Source organism: Homo sapiens, chromosome 17 (genome assembly GCF_000001405.40).
Source record: "Homo sapiens chromosome 17, GRCh38.p14 Primary Assembly".
Lineage (NCBI taxonomy): Eukaryota > Metazoa > Chordata > Mammalia > Primates > Hominidae > Homo > Homo sapiens.
This window is the reverse complement of record NC_000017.11, coordinates 79,558,363-79,583,742: the sequence shown is the minus strand read 5'-3', so window position 1 is coordinate 79,583,742 and position 25,380 is coordinate 79,558,363. Positions and strand designations below refer to the sequence as shown.

Sequence of the window (25,380 nt, the reverse complement as noted above, 5' to 3'; positions counted from 1 at the left end):
AAATGCAAACATGATGATAGTGCTTCATGAAATGCTACCAGAGCCACCGTACCTCCTGGCCGGTCCATTCCTCTAGAGGTTGCACTCCTCTGGGCCTCAGGGCCTTTGCACAGGCAGCTCCTGCTTGGAGTGCCTCCTCTCCCTCTCCCCTTGACCTTGTCATTGATCCCGACCCAGTCTTCAGAGCTCAGCTCAAATGTCACTCCCTTAAGGAAAGACTTCCTTAACTGTCCCCACTTAGGGGTCCCAGTTAGCTGTTCTTATACCCCCACATGCCCCCTGAAGTTTGGACCCCAGCTGAGTGCAGTCACTGTGGGGCACTGCGTGACATCTGTCTGTCTTCTGTAAGGTCAGGGGCCCTTCGACCTGAGTCACCGTGGGGTCCCAGGACCTGCCGTGGCGCTCACTCTCTAAAGACTAAACAGTTGCAGAGACCAGTGAATGAAAGTGTCAGGGCCTTTCACACACATCAGCTTACTGCATCCTCAAAGCATCCCTGTGAAAGAGGGCCCTGCTTTACCAGGAGGAAGCTGAGGCTTGGGGAGGCCAGGGTCATGTGTCGATGAAGAGCCACTGGTCCACACTGCCCAGTCCCCAGCACTCCCTCCCCTGCAGCGCCCAGTGCTGACTTGGTACGGCTTTCATTGCTTGTTTTCCATGTGTTTGGATCTTTCATCCTTGATGTGGCCCCTTAGGAACGGGCTTGCCTGTCCCCTGCAGTGCCCTCAACAGCCTATGATGTGGCACATCTGTGGGAAGCCCTGGCGGAAGTGGGCACCAGAGGCCCATTGTGGGTCGCAGTGGTCCATGGCTCTGGGAGGCTGAGACAGGCCTGAACGAGGCCCTCAGGAACGAGCATCTAAACACATCCCATGGGCAATCACACAGGGCAGGGCGCTGCTAGCCACTCAGGTCCTTCCAGGAATTGCATCCTTTTTTTTTTTTTTTTTTTTTTTTTTTGAGACGGGGTCTTGCTCTGTCTCCCAGGCTGGAGTGCAGTGGCGCGATCATGGCTCACTGTAGCCTCAACATCCCGGGCTTCAGTAGCCTCCCACATAGCTGGGACTACAGGCATATGCCACTATGCCTAGCTAATTTTGTATTTTTTGTAGAGATGAGGTCTTTGTTGCCAGGATGGTCTCAAATGCGTAGGCTCAAGCAATCCTGTTGCCTCAGCCTCCCAAAGTGCTGGGATTACAGGTGTGAGCCACCGCACCCGGTTGGAATTGCATCTTGAACAGAGATTTATTGAGAAGAGAAAGATCTTGTCTTCCCCTTCCCCAAGTCATCAGGGATGGACAAAGAGAGGCTGTGGGGAGGTGGAGAAGGAGCACACACAGAGTGGAAGCGAGGCTGAATGCCCACTTTTCCAGGGCCAGACACTTGCACACACACACATACATGTAGGGACAGGCACAGGCACACACACACAGGCATAGGCACATGCATGCACACAGATGCACACACAGGCACATGCATGCATACACAGGCACATACATGGGCAGGCACATGCATGCATACACAGGCACGCACAGGCACATACACGGGCAGGCACGTGCTTGCATACACAGGCACGCACAGGCACATACACGGGCAGGCACATGCATGCATACACAGGCACGCACAGGCACATACACGGGCAGGCACGTGCTTGCATACACAGGCACGCACAGGCACATACATGGGCAGGCACATGCATGCATACACAGGCACGCACAGGCACGCACAGGCACATACACGGGCAGGCACGTGCTTGCATACACAGCCACGCACAGGCACATACATGGGCAGGCACGTGCTTGCATACACAGGCACACACAGGCGTGAGGGGAGCTTTAGCAGAGGGGCAACCTGGCCTCTGGGCTAACACGATTCCCTATGGTGGCCAAGTGGCTCTAGCTCCATGGCAGATGCTCCATGGCAGTGTCTATGAAAACCATGCCAAATCCCTCTGGGTCCAGCTTCCAAACTCCTTGGAACAGCAAGAGGTGCTCCCCTGCCAGGTCCGGAGCAGGTGGCACCTGCCCTCCTCCAGCCCCTGGCTGTGTGGGCACAAGTACAGCTCTCTTCTCTTCCTGCAACAGGAAACCAAGTGGAAACCTCCCGCATATCAAATAATGGGCAGAGCATCCTCAGCCTCGGGGCAAGGCAGGCCAAGGAGCGTCTACACAGCCGTGGCCCTCTGTGTGGGGGTGTTTCTGTTGCCATGATTCACGTGTGCATGGAAATGGCAGCGGTGAGTGACGTAACGACTCTGACAGTCCCTCTGGCTTCATTCCATCTTCTTTCCTGCCTGATGCTCTGGTGTCCAGGGCATCCAGACTGCAATCTGGCCCAGCTAAGGGCAACCCCTGAAGGAGTGGTCAGATCCACTTGAGCCCGAGGGGAAGTCTTCCTTCTTGTTTCTGCAAAAGCCCGGAGGCTTCCGTGACAACCTAAGTGCACTGGTGTTTTTTTTTGGTTTGTTTGTTTTTTTGTTTGTTTTGTTTTGTTTTGAGATGGAGTCTCGCTCTGTCGCCCAGGCTGGAGTGCAGTGGCACGATCTCGGCTCACTGCAAGCTCCATCTCCTGGGTTCATGCCATTCTCCTGCCTCAGCCTCCCGAGTAGCTGGGACTACAGGCGCCCGCCACCATGCCCGGCTAATTTTTTTGTATTTTTAGTAGAGACGGGGTTTCACCATGTTAGCCAGGAAGGTCTCGATCTCCTGACCTCGTGATCTGCCTGCCTCGGCCTCCCAAAGTGCTGGGATTACAGGCGTGAGCTACCGCACCTGGCCGCACTGGTGTTTTATGATCTGCATTGGCCTGGGTTAGTGTCATTGAGACAGACTCACTTTGGTCACAAATATTTGGTGTCTCTGCTCTGCCCAGCTGTGGAGCTCTCATGTACCTCTGTGCCTTTCTTTGGCCAATGACCAAAGTCATTGATATGGGGCTGGAAGTCGTGTCTGCCATGGGTTAGGATGGAGTGTATCCATCCCTCTTTCCTCTCTGTCGTGACCACCAGGAATGTTCCAGAAAGAGGTTGCTTTATCAGCCTGGCCCCTTGTATGAGGAGCAAGACGGACCCATGATAGGAACATAGCATGAGCAAAAAAAACTTTGCTCTAAAGAGTGTCTGCGACTTGGCAGCTGTTTGTTACTGCAGCGGAACCTCCTCTCTCCTGGCTGATCGAGGTGCCTCACTGAAGTCGTCTCTCAGCCTCTGGCAATGGTTTAATTCACTGAGCACCGCTGAACAGTCGTCTATGCCCAGAGTGATGGAAGCAATAAGAATGGGATTGGGTTTTTGTCTTGGTCTAATGGGGTTGCCTGTCTGGCTGGGGGGCTGTGGTTTAAACCTATGAAAAGATAGGACATGCTGTTGCTCGGGGTGGGATGAGGGAGTTGTTGGCTGATAGATCAAATCTGGATAATCCAAGAAGGGAGAGGGAGGAGAAGAAGGAGGAGGAGGAGGAGGATGGGGGGGGAGGAGGAGGACGGGGGGAGGAGGAGGAGGAGATGGAGATGATAATGATGGTGGGACTGGGGCAGGGACTGGGTGGACTGCAGGTAAGACAAACCCTTAAGCAAAGCCATGGTGGGAGGACGGAGCACAGAAGCCCAAGGGGCACTCAGGAGATGGGACTGGGATGCCAAGTTCTCAGAGATGAGATTGGGAAGGTACCAGGTGCAGTTACCTCGGAGGGACCAGCTGAGTGCAGTCGCTGTGGCACCAGTTCCCATTTTAGAGATGACAACTGAGGGTGAATGGCAGCCAGTGACTCCCCGACCCAGTGACTCCCCAACCCTGTGACTCCCCCACCACAGTGCGAGTGATCCCCCCACCACAGCACCAGTGACCCCCCACCACAGTGCCAGTGACCCCCCACCACAGCGCCAGTGACCCCCCCACCACAGCACCAGTGACTCCCCACCACAGCGCCAGTGGCTCCCCACCATGGCGCCAGTGACACCCCCACCACGGCGCCAGTGACACCCCCACCACGGCGCCAGTGACTCCCCACCACGGCGCCAGTGACTCCCCACCATGGCGCCAGTGACTTCCCCACCATGGTGCCGAGTCTCAGTGGATGCCTGAGCCACCTGACCACATTCTGCTCCATCTCCTGATGGCTCCCAGCCTGTCCTCTCCAGCTCCCGCCAGCCCCGGAGCTTGCCTCCTCCTCTCCTTCATCACTCGCGCGTGCTGGATGCTCTCCTCTCCACAGCCTTGCCTCAGCATTGCCGACCCCTCTGCCCTGCCCCGAGCAGGTCCCAGGGCCACGTTTTGTGGAGATGGTCTGCAAGACAGAATCTTCCTGAGTATCCAAGGAAAATGACCTGTGAATATCAAGGCCAAAAGCGGGGTGCAGTTCTTGGTTTTGGGGAGCAAACCGGCTGATGTGATGTTGCCTCCCATGTGGGCTTTTCTGGTAGGAGCCATGGGCCAGCGGCCGGCAGCAGAGCCAGCACCCGGCAGCAGAGCCAGCACCCGTGTCAACCGCAGCATGCATGTCAGACTGGGCTGCCTCGGGCAGGGGACAGGGAGCCCAGTCGGGTCTGTGCCTCCCCACAGGGCAGGACCAGACGAGGTTCCCCCAAAGAGCATGGAGAACAATTAGGCAAGGGCAGGAGTGGGAAGCAGAGCTGGGCAGGAAGAAAACAGCACAAAGGCCCGTCCTGTTCAGAAGGGAAGAGGGAACGCGACGGAGACGCATGGGAGATGGACCAAGCACGATGCTCAGGACGTTGAGGGGGCAGGAGGCTGAGTCTGAAGTGCAGCCACCCTGAGTCAAGGCCACTGCGTCTTAGAGAACGTAACTAACCAGGGCATTTGCAGCAGGTGTAACCACAGTTGTGCCACTGGGGTCATGCGGTGATGGAGCGAGCCCTGAGGTCAGCCCTGGGCAAAGACCCTGTGCCAGGAGAATGGTGGAATTCTGGAATGATCTGCTGTGCTCCAAACCCAATGCCAAGCAAACCCTACACCAGCTACCCACACCTCTGGCTTCCTGGAAGAAGCTGCACTTCCTTTTAAATGTTTATTATTTTATTATTATTTTTTCAGAGCCAAGTCAGGGAGTTCCTCTCCCACAGACAGATGTTGTGAATTCACGCAGCATCCAGACCAAGGGTCTCTGTTGAGGATGCGGAAAAGGTGCACGAATGTGCAGGTCCCTGGCCCGGAGCGGGTCTCAGGATGGCCGGCCCGTCCAGGCCTTCACCTCATCTACCTGCCTCCAAGGGAGGGCACAAGCCCATCAGGGGTTGAGTGGGTACTGTGTGCATACACCCACAGCCACCTCCCCAAAGAACGGCACCTGTGTGCCCACACAGAAGAGGATGTGCAGGGAGCCTGCCCCAAGGGGTACCAGGCAGTGGGCACCCTGCCTCGGTTTGGTTTTGCTCTGTATCTGATGGGCTGCCTATTTTGCATTCCTGATTGACCATGTGCTGTTTGGGGAAAGGTATTGGAGGGCTTGAGTGCCCTGATGCTCCCCAGAGCGGGTTTTGTTGCAAAGCTCCTGATTTCCCCGGGCTTTGTGGTTGCTCCCGGCATCGCCAAAATCCCCCACGGGTAAGAGAAGCGCTCCAGGTGGCCTTTGCTGTTGGACAAATTTGGGCCACCCCCCTTCCCTCCACCACTACCCCAGGTTGGGCTCAGCTCTGCCTCCTGCCCATCCGGAAAGCCAGCAGTGCTCAGGCCGAGGAAGTGAGGACACTCTGGGGCCAGGTGGAGGGACAGCAGGGTTCTGAGCTGAACGGATGCTTATTTTTAGGAGCCTGTGGGCACTGCCACCCACGCTGGGTCTGCACGGGCCCCTGAGCTCCATCTTCTGTGACAGTGGTTCAGAGCCACCCTCGCACCAGGGGGACCTAGCCTGGCATTGCCGAGCTTTTCACAAAGGGTGCTCAATGCTGCTCTGGTCCAGAGAGGACCGTACCCCAGTTCTCCTACACTGGCCTCCCTGGCCCCTCCACCTCTCTCCCTCCCCTTCTCCTTTGGGTTTTCCAGGGAGGAGGTGGGTTGACAACCTGCTTCGGGAGCTGGAGCCAATTCTGAAACAAGTCAGCAATGATAAGCCACAGACGTGTGTGTGTTGGAAGTGGGATCTTTGTTGGCAAAGTGTGCGCCCATCACCTTTGACTGTACTTGCAGAAACTTCTGTCGCTCATGCAAGGGAACTTGGCACTGGAAACACAAATGCTTTTCTTGTCCCCGCGTATGTCATTAAAATGGCCTTTGAGTTTATTTCTTCAAGTTTGATGATAAGTGTTTAAACAATCAAGCTTAGAGACATTTTTGACATTGCTGCTTTTTCCTCTGGTGCATTTCCCCTGCCGAATTGAGTCTGCCCGTGCGTGTGAAGAATTGCTCACTTTCTTCCATCTTCAGGGCCTCGTTGCTTCCCCATGGAGGGTGCCATTTGCCCCGTTCATGGTGCCTGACTCCCTCAGTGATCCTGCACCCCACCAGGTTCTCCAATGTCTTACTCACCCACTACTTTTCAGTTCTAGCCAGAATTGTCGGAAATCTAGCTTTTGGAAAGTTTAGATCTTGGTCATTGGAAGACAGACACGTCCTGCACTGGCTCTGTCCATCTTCATCAAAGCCAAGATCACTTCTTGGGGTTTGAGGGCAAGGCTGGGATGGGGGTCTGGAGAGTGAAGAGTCCAGAGTGAGACCTCCATGCTGTGAGTCGTCTGTGTGTGGGCTCTATAGGCTTGAGTAATCCCCCTCCATCCTAGTCAGGTCTTTGGGGTCTGGGTTTTGGGGCTCTCGGGAACCCCATTTTTAAGATAGAAAGGTGGACAGCAGGAAACATCAAGCCATAGCCAGGTGGGAGGGGACTACAAGTGTCTGGGACCAGAGCTGTGGGCACCTGTATCAGTCAGGGTTCTCTGGAGAAACAGAACCAGTAGGCTGTCTCTACCCATCTCCATCTCCATCTTCTCCATGATCTCCATCATTTCCATGTTCTCCATGGTCTCCATCTTCTCCATCATCTCCATGATCTCCATCATCTCCATCTTCTGCATGATCTCCATCTTCTCTATCATCTTCTTCATCATCTCCGCCTTCTCCATCATCTCCAACTTCTCCATCATCTCCCACCCCTCCATCATCTCCATCATGTTCATTATCTCCAACCTGTCCATCATCTTCTTCATGATCTCCACCTTCTCCATCATCTCCATCATGTCCATCATCTCCAACTTCTCCATGATCTCCATCTTCTTCATCATCTCCAACTTTTCCATCATCTCCATCTTCTCCATGTTGTCCATCTTCTCCATGATCTCCACCTTCTCCATCATCTCCGTCTTCTTCATCATCTCCATCTTCTCCATGATTTTCATGATCTCCATCTTCTCCATCATCTCCATGATCTCCAGCTTCTCCATCATCTCCATCATCTCTGTGATCTCCATCTTCATCTTCTTCATCATCTCCATCTCCATCCCCATATCTCCATCTATCAAGAGATTTATTTTAAGGAATTTGTTCACATGATTACAGGTGTTGGCAAGTCTGAAATTCCTAGGACAGGCAGGATTTGTGCTTCAGTCTTCAGGCAAGAATTTCTTCTTCTCTAGGAAGCCTGAGTTTCTGCTCTTCAGGCCTTCAGCTGATTGGTTGGGACCTACCCATCCACCTTCTGGAGGCTCATCTCCTGTACTGAAGGCAGCTGATTGTAGATGTTCACCACAACGACCAAATATTATCTCAGCAACACCCAGATTCATGTTGGACTTAATCCCTAGAGACTATGGCCTGGCCATGTGGACACAACACTGACCAGCACAGCATCCCTCCAAGCTCCCAACAGGACTGGCGACTTTTGCTTGGAAGTTTGGTTTGGATCAGTGGTTTCAGCCTAACCGAGGGGGTGGGCTTGCTACTATCACAGGAATACCATGAAATAATTTGCAGCCTTATGGGGAGGGGCCAGACTAAAAATAGCATGTGTTGGGCCTAGGGCTAGATTTGCTCTGGCAGGCTGCCCCGGGCAAGGACTTAGCTCTTTCTCAGAAGTCGGAAGTGCCTTGACCCCATGTTTAGTGCTAAGACAGAGGTGCCCTAGTTGTTCAATTTTTAGCCTCATTTAGAATAGCTTTTTCAAAGGGTGAGTGACAGGGACTTAAACGACTGTCTTCCTTCTTCTTCCTGTGCACTTCCCTCCAACCGGTTTCTCTAAGCCGAAGGCTGACCTTGTCACTACTATATTCAAAACACCTCAAAGGGCTTCCCGTGGCTTTTGGAAGATGGAGCTCCTACCTATGGCATGAGGTCCGTCCCCCAGCCCTGCTGGCTGCCCCTGCACCTCGACCCACTTCCATCGTAGCTCTGTGGCCTCCCGGAGTTCTTAGCACCTTGTCTTCCCTGGCCTCAGGGCCCTGGAAAGTGGCCCCTTTGTCTCCCTCACTCTGCCCCCCTATCCCATGTACTCGTTCCTGCCCCTTAACTCAAGAGCCCCCATTTCCCTGTTGCATGCCCTCACAGCGTTTCATACCTGTCCTTGTCTGCAGGACATCCATGCTGTAATTCATAACTAATTGCTGGGTGTGCGTTGAACCAGCGCCTTTCCTCTTAGATCAGGGGTTCTGGGCCCAGGCTCCATGTTGGAATCGCCTGGGGGGCTTCACAGCCCCCATACCCAGGCTGCCTTCAGAACCTAGGGGGTAGACCCCAGGGCAGCAGTCATTTTGAAACTCCTTGGCTGGTTCCAGTATGCACTCAAAGTTGGGAACCACTGTGCCACTCAAAGTGCGATCCTTGGACCAGCAGCGGCATCACGCAGGAGCTGGTTAGAGATGCAAACTCAGGCCTGGCCCAGACCTGCTGACTCAGAACCTGCCCTTCAATGAGATCCCCATGTGGCTGGGGGACATGTGACAGTTTGAGGAGGGCTCTGGGTACCACCTGGGAGGCTGGACCCTGGCCTGTCTCTGGCACCAGCGTGGCAGTGGCTCACCACGCTCTCACTCAGCGAACCTGTGAAGCCTTTTTTCTTTTTTAAAGTGAAAAGCAAGTTTATTAGGAAAGTAAAGGAATAAAAGAATGGCTACTCCATAGGCGGAGCAGCGGCATGGGCTACTCAACGGAGTATACTTATAGTTACTTCTTGATTACATGCTAAACAAGGGGTGGATTATTCATGAGTTTTCTGGAAGAAGGATGGGAATTTCCCGGACCTGAGGGTTCCTCCCCTTTTTAGACGGTACAAGGTAACTTCCTGATGTTGCTATGGCATTTGTAAACTGTCATGGTGCTGGCGGGGGTGTCTCTTAGCAGCTAATCCATTATAATTACCGCACAGTGAGCAGTGAGGATGACTGGAGTTCACTTTGATCGCCATCTTGGTTTTGGTGGGTTTTGGCCGGCTTCTTTACTGCATCCTGTTTTAGCAGCTGGGACTTTGTGACCTGTATCACTTGACCTCCTGTCTCATCCTGTGACTAAGAATGCCTTAATGTCCAGGGAATGCAGTCCAGCAGGCCTCAGCCTCATTCTGCCCAGCCCCTATTCAAGATGGAGTTGCTCTGGTTCAAACGCCGCTGACATATTCCCTCCTCCCTTTGACAAGGGGACCCTTAATCCTAAGGGTTGAGAGGGATGAAGATCCACCTTCTGTAACTTCTCCGTGAGGACTTTTTAAACAACCCCTCAGATTTCTCCTTTTGGATCCCTTCCTTGCTGACCTGCTCCCTTGAGGGCCAGCCCACCTTCTCCAGTGGGCAGCCCACCCCTGGGGGCTCGCACCCCTTCTTCATGGGTGGAGACGCTGGAGTTTCTGTTTTTCTCCTCCCCGCCTGGTTTCCCACCTCCGCAGTTTAGTTTATTCCTAGAGAATGTTGTCCTGAGCCAGGGAGGAGAAGGAGGCATTGTCTTTCTCCAGCTGGTGAACGTGCCCGCGTGGCTCTGCTTTAGGCACCCTCCCCCCACCGGGCAGATTCAGAGAGAAAAACTCCAAGTAGGATGGAGATTGGAGGCAGGTGATGCCGGGGGGAGGGGAGGGGACAGAACATTCCAGAGGAAGATGGCAAGGCGGAAGGGGAGGTTTTTGAACACAGCTAGGCTTGAATCATCGCATTGGAAAATCCCAGATGAGGTTCTCAGCAGCAATCATTCACATCAAGTGGTCACAGCTGTAGGATGGAGAGAGCTTGTTAAAGGGACAGGTGCCTGTTCTTCCCGTGCTGGGGAAGTCAGGGTGAAAGCCTTGAAGGGCCTCTCTCCTTGCCTGGAGCCCCTCTGCAGACCAGAGAGTGTCTCCAGGGCCGTGGGCTCCGAGTGCTCAGCCTGGAAGCCCCTCCTCCAGGCTGCACGAGGTCCTGCAAGATTGAAAGGCCTCAAAGCACGGCTGGGGACTGCATAGCCCAGAGTCGTCCCACAGGTGTGTGTGTGTGGATGCAGTGCTGCGTGCAGCTCCTTCCAGAGCCCAGTCTCGATGCCCAGCTCCCTCTGCCTTTGTTCCCCGTGGCCTTGGTCTTTCTCTCCTTTTCATCTGTCTCAGGCTTGGAGGAAGTATTTCCAGTGGCTCTGCTGCTGCGCTCTGGAGAGGGTGACTTCTAGAGTGGCTGGGCTTGGCTCTTGCCCCTCTGGGAATCTTCAGGGAGAGGGGACAGAAAGAAGAGGAAATGCCTGAGGCATAAGCAGGAAAGGTGTCAGGTGCCGTAGAGGCAGGGCTGCCAGGTGTACCCAGGACGCCCAGGTAAACTGGAATTGCAGATACACAATAATTGCTTAGTATGAGTGTGTCCCAAAGATTGCATGGGATATACTTATCCTATAATTGTTTTGTCTTCTCTCTGGAATTAGTGTTTTACTGGCTATGCTGTCTTATCTGCCAAATTTGGCAAGCCTGCATGGGGTGAGGGTGGGTGGGGAATCCGGAAGGCACCTCAGGGCAGCACGGGTGGCCAGCCTCTGCGTCCCTGCAGCGTGGCCATTATTCTGGTCCTCAGAGCCCTAATGAGCAGCTGAGCTTCCCCAGGTCTTTGCTGTGAGACAATGAGCCTTGGGAAACACGCACGTTTGCAAACCGCTGTAGGCCATAAAGTAATCAGACAGGCTGGCTGCCCTCCTGCCTTTGTTAATAAATACTTAAGACTGTGGTACTCACCTGGGGCCACCTCCGGGGAAAGGGCTCAGCTCCCACTGCCTTCAGCTTGGCTCCCCTTCCCCCTCCCTCCCCCCACCCTGTTGAGAGGGCTGAAGGCCTTCAGGATCCACCAGGGAGGCCTGGTGGGCAGAGCTGGGGTGGGAGGGGTCTGGGAGAAGGGGCAAGAGGGGTGGGATCGGCCTCGGCTTCATCCATGGGTGTGCATGGTGGGTGGGCACCTGCTGGGTGTTAGGCACTGGGGCCACAATGAGCTCCTGGACACAGGGACCTTGCCTGAGGAGAAGCCACTCCAGGTGCCCCAAGGACTGTGGGTTCAGGGATGGCTAAGCCGGGTGGCGGGGCGATGCTGCCCTAAAGACTCACTGCCAGGGGCAGGGGAATGCCCTGGTCTGAGCACCAAATGGACCATGGTCTGGGCAGCAGGTGTGTTAGGGGCTCTGTGTCAGGCTGCAGGGGGACCTGAATCCCAGCCCAGTCCCCACTGCCCTAATTGTGTGACCCTGGGCAAGTCAAACAGCCTCTTGATGCCTTAGTTTCCCCGTGTATAAGATGGGAGGAGTGATAATAACACCCGCCTCTCGGGATGCCCAGGAGGGTTAAATGAGAGAATACTTAGCACCAGGTAGTGTCTGCACCCGATGGCTCCCAGCAAATCACCTTCTTATGACAAAAGTCCTGCAGGTGAGGGGTCGGCAGTGAGATAGGACGCTGGGGGGAGGTGAGCAGGCCACACCCGGGGTGCTCATAGGCACAGTCTTCTGCCCATTCTATTGTCGCCACCACAGGCCTTCCTGTTGCCTACCTCATTCCCTCCTTGAGGGATCCTTGGATTAGAGTCTACTCAAGGAGCAGGAAGAGGAAGCCAGACCCCCTGCAGCAAGTTCACGAACATCCAGTCTTGGCCAGGTCGGCTGCGTCCTGACCCACCACCCTTGCTTGGTGCGATGCAGCAAGATAACGTGAGATCCTGCAGTGGAGATTCAAAGCTTAATTAAAACTGTAGATCACAAATATGAGACTCCAGGTTTAAGACAACCTGATCAAATTATCCTGGTACACTTCCATTTAAATCTGAATTTCTGTGATGGAAGAGAGTGGTTGGGGGGGCGGGGGGTGGGAGTGGGGACACCCAAGCAGATGAAAAACACTTATGACACTTCTTTTATGATGGGGCCTCGAGGAAGACTCTGGGCTGGCAGTGGAGAGGATATGGCACCCGCAGGCATAGGCAGAAGGGAGAGGGAGGCCTGGCCGTAGCCTGTCCTAGCCAGGCTTGACAGAGGCCAGGTCAGGGCTCTGCTCAGGGGTCAGCTGTACAGCAAGGACCATAATCTGCTGGCTCTAGGGCAGGCTCTGCCATTTTCTTGATTTGGGGATATTTGGAAGCCACAATGCTGACTTCTTTCAAGAACCCAGAGATGCTAGGGGACCCTGGGATTCCTTAAGAATCTTGAATGCCTGATGCTACCAGATTGTTAGTCCAAAGGGTAAAATTCCAGTAATGAGAAACATCCTTTTCAACGAGTTAAATGACAGCTAGGCCAGGGCCGGGGACGTGGAACTGGCATTACAATAATTACCTAATAGATTAACTTCATTGCAGCATTTTTGGCCTCACTCCTCCTCCCTGCCACTCTATTTTATAAAAAATTCTTTTCTCCCGGGGGCCCCCCCTCATCCTTCAGTAAGAGTCTCTTATCTGTGGTTTACAGGTTTCTTCATCCTTCCTGAGACATGACATTCTATTTTTTAAAAGCAACCCACAGCTATTGCAAGGCATGCAAAGCAGCCCGGCCCACAGGCCCACTCCTGGAAAGATGTGAGCCCTGCATCAGGGGTTCCCAGCCCTGGCCGATCCCCTGAGCCACCCGAGAGTTCATGAAAAGCACTGACTGTGAGCTCCACCCTAGAGTGTGGAGTCAGGGTCCCCAGGGGTGGGGTCTGTAAGTGTCACTTTGGAAATGCTGTCCAGGTGACCCTAAGGGACAGGAGGGCTTGAGAGCTAGTGGCAGCCAACACTGTTGGTGGGAAACATTACTCAGATACAGACAAGGTTTGAGACAAATGAAGGCAGGCCCGCTCAGAAGTTCTTAGACTGCTGCTGTGCCAGTCAGTAGGGGGAAGGGAGGAGCAACGTGGCTGTGATGTCTGTCCATCCATCTGTCCACCCATTCATCCTCCATATATTATCCATCTGCCCATCTATCCACCTATAATCCATCTATCTATCTTCTATCTACCATCCATCTATTATCCATCTGTCCATCTACCATTCATCCATCCACCATCTATCTGTAATCCACCTATCCATCCATCCATAATCCATCTGTCCATTCCTTCTCTACTATCCATCTGCCCATTCACCATCTGTCCGTAATTCATCTGTTCATATACCATCCATCTATAATTCATCTATCCATCCATCCATCTACTATCCATCTATAATCCACCTATCCATCTACCATCCATCTATTATCCATCTGTCCATTTGCCATTCATCCATCTACCATCCATAATCTACCTATCCATCCATCCATAATCCATCTGTCCATTCCTTCTCTACTATCCATCTGCCCATTCACCATCCATCCATAATTCATCTGTTCATATACCATCCATCTATAACTCATCTATCCATCCATCCATCTACCATCCATCTATAATCCACCTATCAATCTACCATCCATCTATTATCCATCTGTCCATTTGCCATTCATCCATCTACCATCTATCCATAATCTACCTATCCATCCATCCATAATCCATCTGTCCATTCCTTCTCTACTATCCATCTGCCCGTTCACCATCCATCCATAATTCATCTGTTCATACACCATCCATCTGTTATCCATCATCCATCGATTTTCTATCTTTCCATCCATCCAAACACTCTTAGATGTTGACCTTGGCCACCAGAATATCTTGCATCTGGTACAATGTTTGCAGCAGGCCCCGCTAAGTAACAGCAAATGGAATAAATGCACGTTAGCATTTATTTAATCTGCAGGTTTAATCTGCAGGTTGGCAGATTAAAGAAATCTACTGACATATACCCAAAGGAATTGAAAACAAGGACACAGATACTTGTATGCCAATGTTCACTGCATCATCATTCACCACACAATAGTGAAACAGCCCAAATGTCCGTCAACAGGTGAGTGGGCAAACAAAATGTAGTATATCCACACAATGGAATAGTGCGTAGCCATAGAAGGGAATGAAGCTCTGACAGTCTACAGCATGGATGAACCCTAAAAATGATGTGCTGAGTGAAAGAAGCCAGACACAAAAGGCCACACGTTGCATGATTCCACTTAGATGAAATAACTGGAATACAAATCCATACAGACAGAGGGTAGACGAGTGGTTGCCAGGGCTTGGGGGGAGTGGGGAGCTATTGTTTAATAGGAATGGAGTTTCTGTTTGGGGTGATAGAAAAGTTCTGGAAGTGGGTCATAGTCATGGGTGCACAACATTTGATATGTAATTAAGGCCACTGAATTGTACACTGAAAAATGGTTTGAAATGGCAAGGTTTTTTTTTTTTTCTTGCTATAGATGTTTCCACAATGAAAAAATCCCCTAAAACAAGAATAAAGAAACCTACCTGAGAGGCTAGTGGGGGTATTTCTCAAGGTGGGTGGGTTGAGGAGAAGGCAGATACCTAAGCATCTAGTGGGGAGGTAGCCCCCATCACCCCTCAGCACATCCTCACTGGGTCCGGAGCTCTGGGAGGTGGGGCGGCAGGGGTCTCGCTGACTCAGGTGCTTTCCACGGAGCAGGTCCTGGGGGTCTGGCCAGTTTGCCCTTGGTGGTGGTGAGTGGGACACAGGAATCTGGCTTATGGGCCAACCAGTCGCCTTCAGAGCGAAGGATTTTTTAAATGGGGGCGGAGCTGGGAAATTAGCCTTTTTTCACCATACAGGGCATGGGGGTCTCTTGAGTCTTCCCAGGCTCTCATGAGGAGGAATCACCTCTTTGGAATGTATCGAGGGTGCTGTGGGTGGGTGGCCCCCAGCACTGGAGAAACATTGAAGAAGGGGCATTACCCCCAGCTTTAGTTGTGGTGGGAGTCAGGGGAACCAGCAGAAGTTTGCCTACCAGTTGCATATCCCTTATCTGAAATGGTTGGGACCAGAAGTATTTCAGATTTTGGATTTTTTTTTTATTTTGGAATATTTGCTTTATACTTATCAGTTGAGTGTCTCAAACCTAAAAATCCAAGAACCAAAATGCTCCAGTGAGCATTTGCTTTGAGCATCATGTCAGTGCTCACAAAGTTTTAGATTTTGGAGCATTTTGGATTTTCAGATTTGAGATGCTCAGGCTGTGTGATAAAAGGAATCGGTTCTCTGTTCTCTCAGCACATGGACTTGCTTGTGGTATCGGTACTGAGTTTACAGCATAGTGTTGCTTAGTGGGGGCCTTGGATGTTTGCTTCCAAGACCAGATAAAGTCTTTGTACTCTAGATGTGTGTCACCCCAGCTTGGGGGCTGGCAGGGGTGAGGGAAAGGTGAGCCCGCACTCCTTCCAGCAGGCTATTGCTCTGGAAGATAAGAAGTACCCAGCGCAAGTACACGCAGTGTGACTGTCACTGGAGAGCGGGCACCCATGCTGTTCTGGGAGCATCCTAGAAGGGTTCCAGGAGACTTTACATCATTGATTTGGTCTGCAAACCATCTCTTAATAGACAGTGCAGAGGTAAAGGTCAGGCAGGTTCTTTTATATGAATTTCAAATTGATTTTCAAATTCTGAATGTGTTGAATTGGAAGAAAAGAGGGTTTTCTTTATTGATTTGACTTGGCTAGCCCTGGCTTGGAGAGCCTGGAGATGGAGTCCCAGCAAGGACTCTGTTAAAGATCGCTCTTCCCTGCCAGGAACTTGGCACGTAGCATCTCAGCAAATCCTTACGACAGCCCTAAGAGGTACGGACAAGGAGTCACCTAGTTTATTTATTTACTTATTCCCTTTATTTTTAGTTGACACATAATAGCTGTACATATTTATGGGATACAAAGCAATATTTTGATGCATATATACAGTGTGTAATGATCAAATCAGGGAAACCTGTCATTTATGGCAACATGGATGAATCTGGAGGACGTCATGTTAAATGAAATAAGCCAGGCACAGAAAGGTAAATCCTGGCTGGGTGCGGTGGCTCACGCCTGTAATCCCAGCACTTCGGAAGGCCAAGGCGGGCAGATCACTTAAGGTCAGGAGTTCAAGATCAGCCTGGCCAACATGGTAAAACCCCATCTCTACCAAAAAATACAAAAATTAGCTGGGCATAGTGGTGGGCACCTATAATCCCAGCTACTAGGGAGGCTGACTCAGGAGAATCGCTTGAACCTGGGAGCTGGAGGTTGCAGTGAGCCGAGATCACACCACTGCACTCCAGCCTGGGCGACAGAGTGAGACCCTGTCTCAAAAAAAAAAAAAAAAAAAAAGAAAGAAAGAAAGAAAAAAAATAGCACATGTTCTCACTCATACGTGGGAACTCAAAAGAGTTGAGCTCATGGAAGCAGAGAGGATTCTGAGGCTGGGAAGGAGAACGGGAAGAGGAAGATGGGAGGAAGTTGGTTAACAGACATGAAATTGCAGCTAGATAGGAGGAGTGAGTCCTCGGTTGCAGGGTGACTTCCATTAACAAGAATTTATTGTGACCTCATTTTACAAAGAAGAGAACAGAGGTGCACATGAACCAGGTAATTTGCTTAAGAACAAGTGAAGCAAATTGCTGGTGACTCTTGCCTTGCCGGATGGGGCTTGGACCTGTCCCATCAGGTGCCAGGGCCCAGCCATTGTAACTGCCTCGTGTCCCCTCTGGGGCAATGCTCGGCTGAAGGTGCTGGATGTCCCACAGAACGAATGAACCACAGATACTGGTTATGAACAGTGGCAAGCAAGGCTTCTGCCTCTGGGGTTGAGGGCAACCACAGTGCCCTAGGCCCACAGGCAGGTCAGCATCTTGGCTGGAGTGGCCTGGGTTGTTGGGGACCCAGCACAGCCTCATCTCCACTGGCTGATTCTGTCCATCATTGCAAGACTTTCCTCAAAGCATGGAAGGACTGGGGTTCTGGCGGTTTGGCTTTAGGATCTGCTGTGGACCTCAGCTCTTCCCCCGTCCCCTGGCCCACCCCAGGATGCACAGCACATGGATGGATGCGGTGCTGGGCCAAAGCTGGTCTTACCAGTTTTCCTGCATGCACCTGAGAGTCCCCCTGGAGCTGCAGGACCATGGTGATGAAGGACGGAGCTACTGAGGAAGGCTCTTTAGCGCTGGCCGCTTCTTACAGTGGATGAGTGGAGACCCCAGGCCCAGCCTGGTGAGGCTTAAATAGGGACTATGGCAAGACGTGCTTACGCAAAGGGAGGGCTCATTCATCATTCGTAATTGGTTGAATAACAAATGAAAGCTGATTAACAAGTAGAAGAAACATAGAGGGAGGTCTCTAGAGATGTGCCATAGGGCTCTATCAGCACCTTCTCCCTGTTCCTTGTGGCTGCTGATGTCTCGGATGGGGCGCAGGTGGCAGAGTTATTAAATCCGAGGATGACAGGGAGCTGGAAGGATTGGTGAGAGTGCTTCGTAGACAAGCTTAGGATCTAAATATATCTCGACAGTCAGAATGGTAGGGTGAAGCTAGCAAAATACAATTTAGTAGAACCCAAAATACTGGGGTCCAAATAGCCAAGCTCTCCAAGCCTGTGATGGTGAGACAGAGCTAGCTGGTTGCATGTATGACTTAGCAAGCTGTAGCGTGAGCCAGCAGTGTGACAGAGCTGCATCCAAAATGCAGAGTGGTCTTGGGTTGCATTCATAGAAGTATTGTCTGCAGAAGAAAGGAGGAGACCCTGCTCTACCCTTTCTCAGATAGGGCACTGCCAGGGTCTTATGTTAAGATCTTTATGCCCTACTTTAAAAGGACTTTGATTAATCAAGTAAGACTCCAAAATGAATTCTATTGCCAAAAAATAGATGTGCTAGGCTGGGCATGATGGCTCACACCTGTAACCCCAGCACTTTGGGAAGCCAAGGTGGGCGGATCAATTGCGGTCAGGGGTTCGAGACCAGCCTGACCAACATGGTGAAACCCCATCTTTACTAAAAATACAAAAAAATTATTGGGTGTGGTAGTGCATGCCTGTAATCTCAGCTACTTGGGAGGCTGAGGCAGGAGAATCGCTTGAACCTGGGAGGCAGAGGTTGCAGTGAGCTGAGATCATGCTGTTGCAGTCCAGCCTAGGCAACAGAGCGAGTCTCTGTCTCAAAAAAAAAAAAAAAAGATGTCCTAAATGTATTGTTTGCTTCTTAAAAAATATTTTCTATGCTTATAGTAAATAGTGTCTCTTTGCAAAAAGTAGAGAAAGCACAGAAGAGGGTAGAGATGGGAACAAAAATCAATCATAACCTTACCTTAATCTTCCCACCCAGAGATAACTACTTTAACATTTTGGTATATTTCCTAGCAGTCTTTTAAAAAAATACATATTTTAAAATAAAATTAGAATGATATTTATATATAGTCTGTACCCTGTTTTTACTTAATATGACAAGGTAAGCATCACTCTTTTTTTTTTTTTTTTTGAGACAGAGTCTCGCTCTGTTGCCCAGGCTGGAGAGCAGTGGTGTGATCTCTGCTCACTGCAACTCCGCCTCCCGGGTTCAAGCAATTCTCCTGCCTCAGCTCCCTGAATAGCTGGGACTACAGGCGTGTGCCAGCACGCCCGGCTAATTTTTGTATTTTTTAGTAAAGATGGGGTTTCACCATATTGGCCAGGCTGGTCTCGAACTCCTGACCTCGTGATCTGCCCACCTCAGCCTCCTAAAGTGCTGCGATTACAGGCGTGAGCCACCGAGCTTCTACCACAACCACACACTTCAGTGGCTGCTGACTAGTCTGTGGTGTGGATGTCCCCAAAATTCATAATTTGTTTCCTCTTTCCTGTACTGTCGGCTGTTTGGGTTGTTTCCAGTTTTTTTCTGCGTTATAAATAATCCTGTGATTAACTTCCTTGTACATAAATCTTGGTCTGCGCCTCTGATTATTTCTGTAGGATCAATTCCTAGAAGTAGAATTCCTGGGTCAAGGAATATAAATGTTCTTGAGGCTCCAGCACCGTTCTGCTAAGGCGTCCTCCAGGAAGGTTCGGCTCCTATTAAGATGTGCACACCAGCCCCCACCAGCCAGCAAGGCCAGCTCGGCCATTATCCCTAGATGCCACCTTCACCAAGGTAATAGGTGAGAATGTTGCCCCTTCAGGCAGGTTCCCACTACACCAGCTCCTGGTTTTCTTCCCAGCACGATTAATGCCATTTTGGGTTTGCTGCTATTGGGAACCTTGTCTGTTTCATCTGGCTCAAAGTGCATAGGGAAGGACTGTTCAATGAATGAAAGGAAGTCAAATGGGAGCTGCATGGCAAAAAGAGCCTGATGGTTTGGGCTTCGGGGAGAGCAGGATGGCTCAGGGCAAAGCCAGAAGCCACCTTGCCTGATTTAAATGCTGGTTCTTTCCTTAGCTGTGTGACCTTGGGTAAGGTACTGACCCCAAAGAAGCTGCAGGTCCTCCATCTGTTTTGGGGCTGAGTGTCACAGTGGGGAAGCAAAACCATGAAATGTGCAGGGTACTCAGCCTGGCATAGGGTACGTAGCATAGTTAGTGCTCACTTAATGGGAGACATTTTTCTTAGAATCATTATTCTTGTTGCTTTTGTCTATATGAAGAATGCTTTTATGACTCATGGGAGAACTTCCTCAACTCCATCCTCTGGTTTACCCAACAAATATTTATTAAATGCCAGCTCTGTGGGTGGAGAACATGTATTGCACAAGCAAATAGCGACAAGACGCCCTCAGACCTAGACTCCCGGCCAGTGGGGGATTCAGGCAAGGCACTGAAGATGGATTGGTTTAACTCCAAAGGAAAAGAATGTGCCAAGAAAAAAGAGCAAGAGAAGACCTATTCTACTCCTCTAGTATATGGAAAGGAAACTCATCTCACGAGTAATCAAACCTGTACCAATGTCAACAACGTAACACCTCTTTTCCCAGATTGTTAGCAAAGACTTAAAAAATGCTAACACACAATGCTGGGAAGGTTGTGGTGAAACAGGCACTCCTTTAAATCATGCCATGAAATCAAATGTGCTGTAGGCCAGAGAGAGAAACATGCTGAGAAGTGGCTGCCTTCATCTTCCCCCTAAGGGGCTGCTGAGGGCAGTGGGGCGTAGGGATCCTGCCCTTTCCTTGCAGACGGAAGCGAGGCGTTTCATTTCCTGCCTCACCAGGCCGCTGTCTCTGAAGGGACAGTCTGATCAATAGATGAGTCAGCCTCTGGCTTGTTCATCCTCTTCCTTCTCATTGAACATTCCTTAGAGATTCTTGTTTTTTTGTTTTTTTTTTTTCAAAGACCCGTTGGCTACCTGGCCCACATTTTAAAACATCCTTTTGTTGGTGGTTTTTGTGGGCTATTGATCCTGTTGGCTTGTTTTCTGAGATCCGCTTCATTTCAAATGTTCCTAAAGGGAACTTCAGGACAAACCAGGCCTTCTTGCTCCCCCCGCCCGCTCTGCTGCTGCGCAGGGGCCAGGCGGAGGCAGTGGGCGAGTGCTGGCTGGCACAGGGCCTCATCTCCAGGTTTTCATCTGAGCTGTGATTTCCCTAGGCAGGTGGGAGGCAGGCGTCCAGCAGAGCCGTGCTCTGCAGAGGGGAAAAAATCCCAGCACAGCTCTGTCGAGTCTTTCCTGCTGGATTCCTGGGGTGGGTACGAGCCCCTTACCTGGGCCCCGTGGACTCATTGATCATCATGTCATTAGGGTCCCTGCTCCTTTTATCTGGAGCTGGGAGGAGAAGGTTGTATGTGGCAGGCAGCAGGGTTCTGGCCCCTACCCCGATTCCCTTATCTCCAGCCGGGGCCGGGGCCCACCCTCCATGGACTTTCTCTGGCGCCCCCAGACACCGAAGCGGCAGCAGCAACAGCCCGGGTGGTACTTCGTGCTGGATGTGTATTTTCAGAAGCTGCGGGGGACGTCATGTGTATAAAATTAGCATTGCCTTGTTGGCCCCTTTCAGACTAATTCGGAGTGAAATGTTTTAGCAATGGTGGGCTGATTCTATCAGGAGAACAAGAACTAATTAAATTCCCTCTGACCATCAAGCAGTAAATTATTTATATCCAGACAGATGCAATCTAATCTCTAGCATCCAGCGAAACCCAACATGCATGCTACTTGATTTTTCAAGGGGAGAGGAAGAAAAAAAGACAAGGCTCAAGTACTCAAGAGAGGAGATGGACGGCGGAGAGAGCCACAGGACTCTGGCCCTAGAGGCACTCAGCTCCGTGTGTGGATGGGGAAGCCGCCGACTCGGGTGAGGGCTCAGGACTTCCATTCCCGGTTCCCAGTAGTCTCAGCCGGCATGCTATTCCTTGCAGGCAGGAATAAAGAAAAAAGGAGTCCACGAACCATTCTACAAGGCTTTGTTTAACACAATCTCAGCTGTTTAGGGGGAGAATTAATTTCACTAATGAATTTGCTAATGCATGTCACAGACGTACTGGTCTGCCCCTTTTGGTGGCCTTTGGTGGCTGCTGAGTGGCTGCCAGCTTGCATTTTGGAATGGAGTGATTAGCTTGTCCCCATGAGGTGAGCTGTGTGGGCCGCTGCCCATCTCTTCTGCTGCCCACCCAGCAGTGGGACTCATAGCACCATGCATGGGAAGCCCAATGTCCCTCCCCCTGATGCCAGGGATGACATCTTTGCTGGGCGTTCCTGCCCGTCCCCACCAGACACAGGTGTGGACGGGAGCCTGAGCCTGCTTTGGGTCTAAGTCCCTACCCTCATGTGCCCCTCTCTTGGGAAGAGGTGAGGGCTGCCCTCAGGACGCTGGTTGCTGCTCTGTGACTCGGGCCGGGATGAAGGGAGGGCTCCTTTTGCAGAGTTTGCTGTGAGGACACCTGCTTCAGTGCCCAGCTGGGTGGTGCTTGCCTCGAGGGGTCTGCATACACTGGGCACTCACTGCTGTCACCAACACGCACCGCTTTTCAGTTTCAGCGGTGACATCGGCTGATGGAAAGGCGCTGACCCAGTGGCCTCGTGGAGCTGGGGTGTGGGGTCAGCCTCGTTCGTGTGTCTCTGGGGACTCCTGAGTTTGGCGACCCTTGCTCTCTGTCATCTGAATCTGCAGTGGTGGTCTCTGCTCACCCTTAATCCTTGGGGGTGACTGGAGCAGAGGGAGGTCTAGGATTTGGAGAGCCTGGGGAAGGGCTGACTGTCCAGCGTTTCTTCCTGGAAGCTGGGCTTGCCGGCTGCTCAGCCCTGGCAAGGCTGGGCTCTATTTCTGGCACCCCTGACACTCCCTTTGAACCCTTGGAGCACGGTGGTGAACTTAAGCCCCCAGGGGCATACATGGTAGTGACTTTTTTAAAATGGCAAAAGGACCCTTTGCAAAGCAGTCACCTTACTAAGTTCTAAGCATCTGTTCCAAATCTCTAAAGATTTTGAGACTCCTCTTTTGGACTCACTGTAGTGCAAGGTCTATTTGTTTGAATTGTGAACACATCCTCCTTTGAGGGTGCAGCTGATTGTGGGAGAGGCCAGGCGCCCCCAGCTCTGTCTGGTGGGGAGCCTGGCCCATAGAGTTGGCTGGGGTCCAAATGCTGGCTTCACTTCTTATTACACACGTGGTCTTGGACAAGTTATTGAATCCCCATGAGCTTCCGTTTCCCCAACTGTGAAATGGGACCAAGCATCCTTCCTACCCCCTGGGGCAGCTGAGAAAAGGAGAGGACGCAGGTGAAGTCCTCCGCATGCCACCCAGTGACAGGCTGAAGCTCGGGAAGCACCTGCAGCTGCAGCTCTCGCGCTGGCCGTGCTGTCATGGGTGGGGAAGTGGGTGGGGGCATCTGTGGATGGAGACTGAACGGCTTCCCGCCACGAGTGTTCTGGCTGTGGTGAGGTGAGGTTGCTGTGACAGCACTGGCTGGCAGGCTTAGATGTGGGGAGTTGGTGCTGGAACATAAGTCACTGAACCCCATGATCCCTGGAGTGCGTATTCTTCAATGTTCCTGGACACGCCATGGTCGGGTGGGCAGTAGCTGCTCATTAGGTGCCCACCGTCCTGGTAAACATAAAAATGAAATTGCTGTTTCTTGAGTACCTGTTCTGACTGGTCCTGAGGCTACAGTCAAGGAGAAGTAAAGTGGTTGCCCTCTCACACCTTCCGCCAGCAGGACAGGGAGGGCACTTCATTTGCAGTGGGATGGCGAATGAAGCATGAATACCTGCATGGGTTCTCTGCTCTGCAGTTCGCAAAGTATCCCTGTGTATGTGAGAGCTGGGCATTCTTAGGCTTTTCGGGTCTCCCTCAGCCTTTCCCTGTGCTTTGCTCTGGCTCGGTGACCACCCAGCAACCATTTCAGCCCAGTCACTTCTACACTCAGTCTTTTGGGGCTGGGATGGAGATTGACGGTGGGTGGGGGAGGCTGTTACTTTGGACCTGATTTTCTAGGAGTTGCTGAAGATGCAACGGGGTGTCACAAGATCCATCCACCCACCACCCACCCACCCACCTATTCATCCACCCACCCATTCATTCATCCATACACCCACCCACCCATCCTTCCACCCATCCACTGTTCACCATCCACCCATCCATCTATCCACCCATTCATTCACCACCGACCATCCACCTACCCACCCACCCATCTATTCATCCACTCACCCACCCACCCATCCACCTACCCACCATCCACTATTCACCATCTACCCATCCATCCATCCACCCATTCATTCACCACCTAACATCCACCCACCCATCTGTTCATCCATCCACCCACCTACCCATCCATCCACTATTCACCATCCACCCATCCATCCATCTACCCATTCATTCACCCATCCATCCACCACCCATCATCCACCCATCCATCCACCCACCGACCCACTCATCCATCCACCCACCCACCCATCCATCCACCCATCCACTATTCACCATCCACCCATCCATCCATCTACCTATTCACTCATCACTCTCCATCCACCCCCCCACCCACTCACCCATCTGTCCACCCACCATTCATCTATCCACCCATCCACCTATTCACCATCCACTATCCACCCATACAAAATCCACCACCTACCCATCCATCATGCAGTATCCATCAGTCACCATCCACCTACCCATCTACTATCCACCCATCCACCACCCACCACTTACCATTCACCCATTCACTTATCCACCCATCCATCCAATCATCCATCCCATCCACCCATTCACTATCCACCATCCACCTCAACTGCCACTCACCTATCTACCATCCACCACCCACTCACCACCCACCATGACCCACCATTTGCCATCTACCCATCCATCCATTCTATAAATAATTAGTAAGCACTTAATGCATGCTAGGTATTATTTTAGGCACCAGTAAGACAATCATGGGAAAAAAAGACAGACAACCCCCGCCCCTCCCATCCTCAGGGAGCTCTATTCCAGTGAGAACAATTAATGTGCTAGATTGTGAGGTCATCAGTGCTGCTGCCCGTGTAAGACTGAGGTTCCCAGGCCCGAGACCAGCCTGGCCAGGGCTCCCAGGGTCTCCTGGTGGGGACTCTCAGGAGTCCAGCTGCTGCCCCTCAGCTGAGCACCTGGCATGGACAATGCCTGGTAAATGCTTGCTATGTGAGGGCACCTGCCCACGTTGAATCCACACAGCCTCTGGGCCACAGGGGTCCTGCTCCTTAGCAAGCCTCTCTGTGCCCTCCATGCTGGCCCTGCATCCCCTGGCACACCCCCCACCATTGTCAATGTCCTTCTTGTGCAGCTGGCCTCGGTCCCTCCTCTCTCCCTCCTGCTCCCCGCAGGCCCACGCAGCCTCCGCGCACTGTGGGTGGTGAGAATATGTGGTTAACAGGTTGACTAACCCAATCCCCGCAAGGCAGGGGAAGGCTGCTCCAGTAAATTTCCAAATGTGTCCGGGCTGACAATTTTGGTTTCCTCTCAAGCAGTGAGTGCATGGAGCCCGGCCGGGAGGGAAGTGTTCAGGGGCCCGAAGCCACCTTGGAGGGCTGGTCCTGACTGTGGTCTTGCCTCCCTCCTGGGCAGCCGGGAAGTGTGGGCCCTGGTGTTTCTGCTTTGGAAGATCCTCCCCATCCGCCAGCACCCTGGGGCCCTCAGCCCCGCCCCTCAGCTGCCCCCAGCCGGTCTCTGCGCCTGGACCCTCCGGACGGTTCCCTGCTGTCTGCCAGTCACCAGACACTGG

At 52.0% G+C, this 25,380-nt stretch overlaps 1 protein-coding gene across 42 annotated transcripts in view; it reads left to right on the top strand.

Annotated features, from left to right (window-relative positions):
- The window catches only part of RBFOX3 (RNA binding fox-1 homolog 3), a 576,227-nt gene that overhangs the window by 81,829 nt on the left and 469,018 nt on the right, over positions 1–25,380 (top strand). For 6 of the 42 annotated variants that reach the window (NM_001385843.1, NM_001385823.1, NM_001385847.1 and 3 more), the window contains exon 1: positions 21,187–21,485. The exons of the other annotated variants lie outside the window; for them this stretch is intronic. The gene's annotated coding sequence lies outside the window, so the exon portion shown is untranslated. Of the gene's footprint in view, positions 1–21,186; positions 21,486–25,380 lie in introns of those variants that run through there. 42 annotated transcript variants of the gene reach the window in all.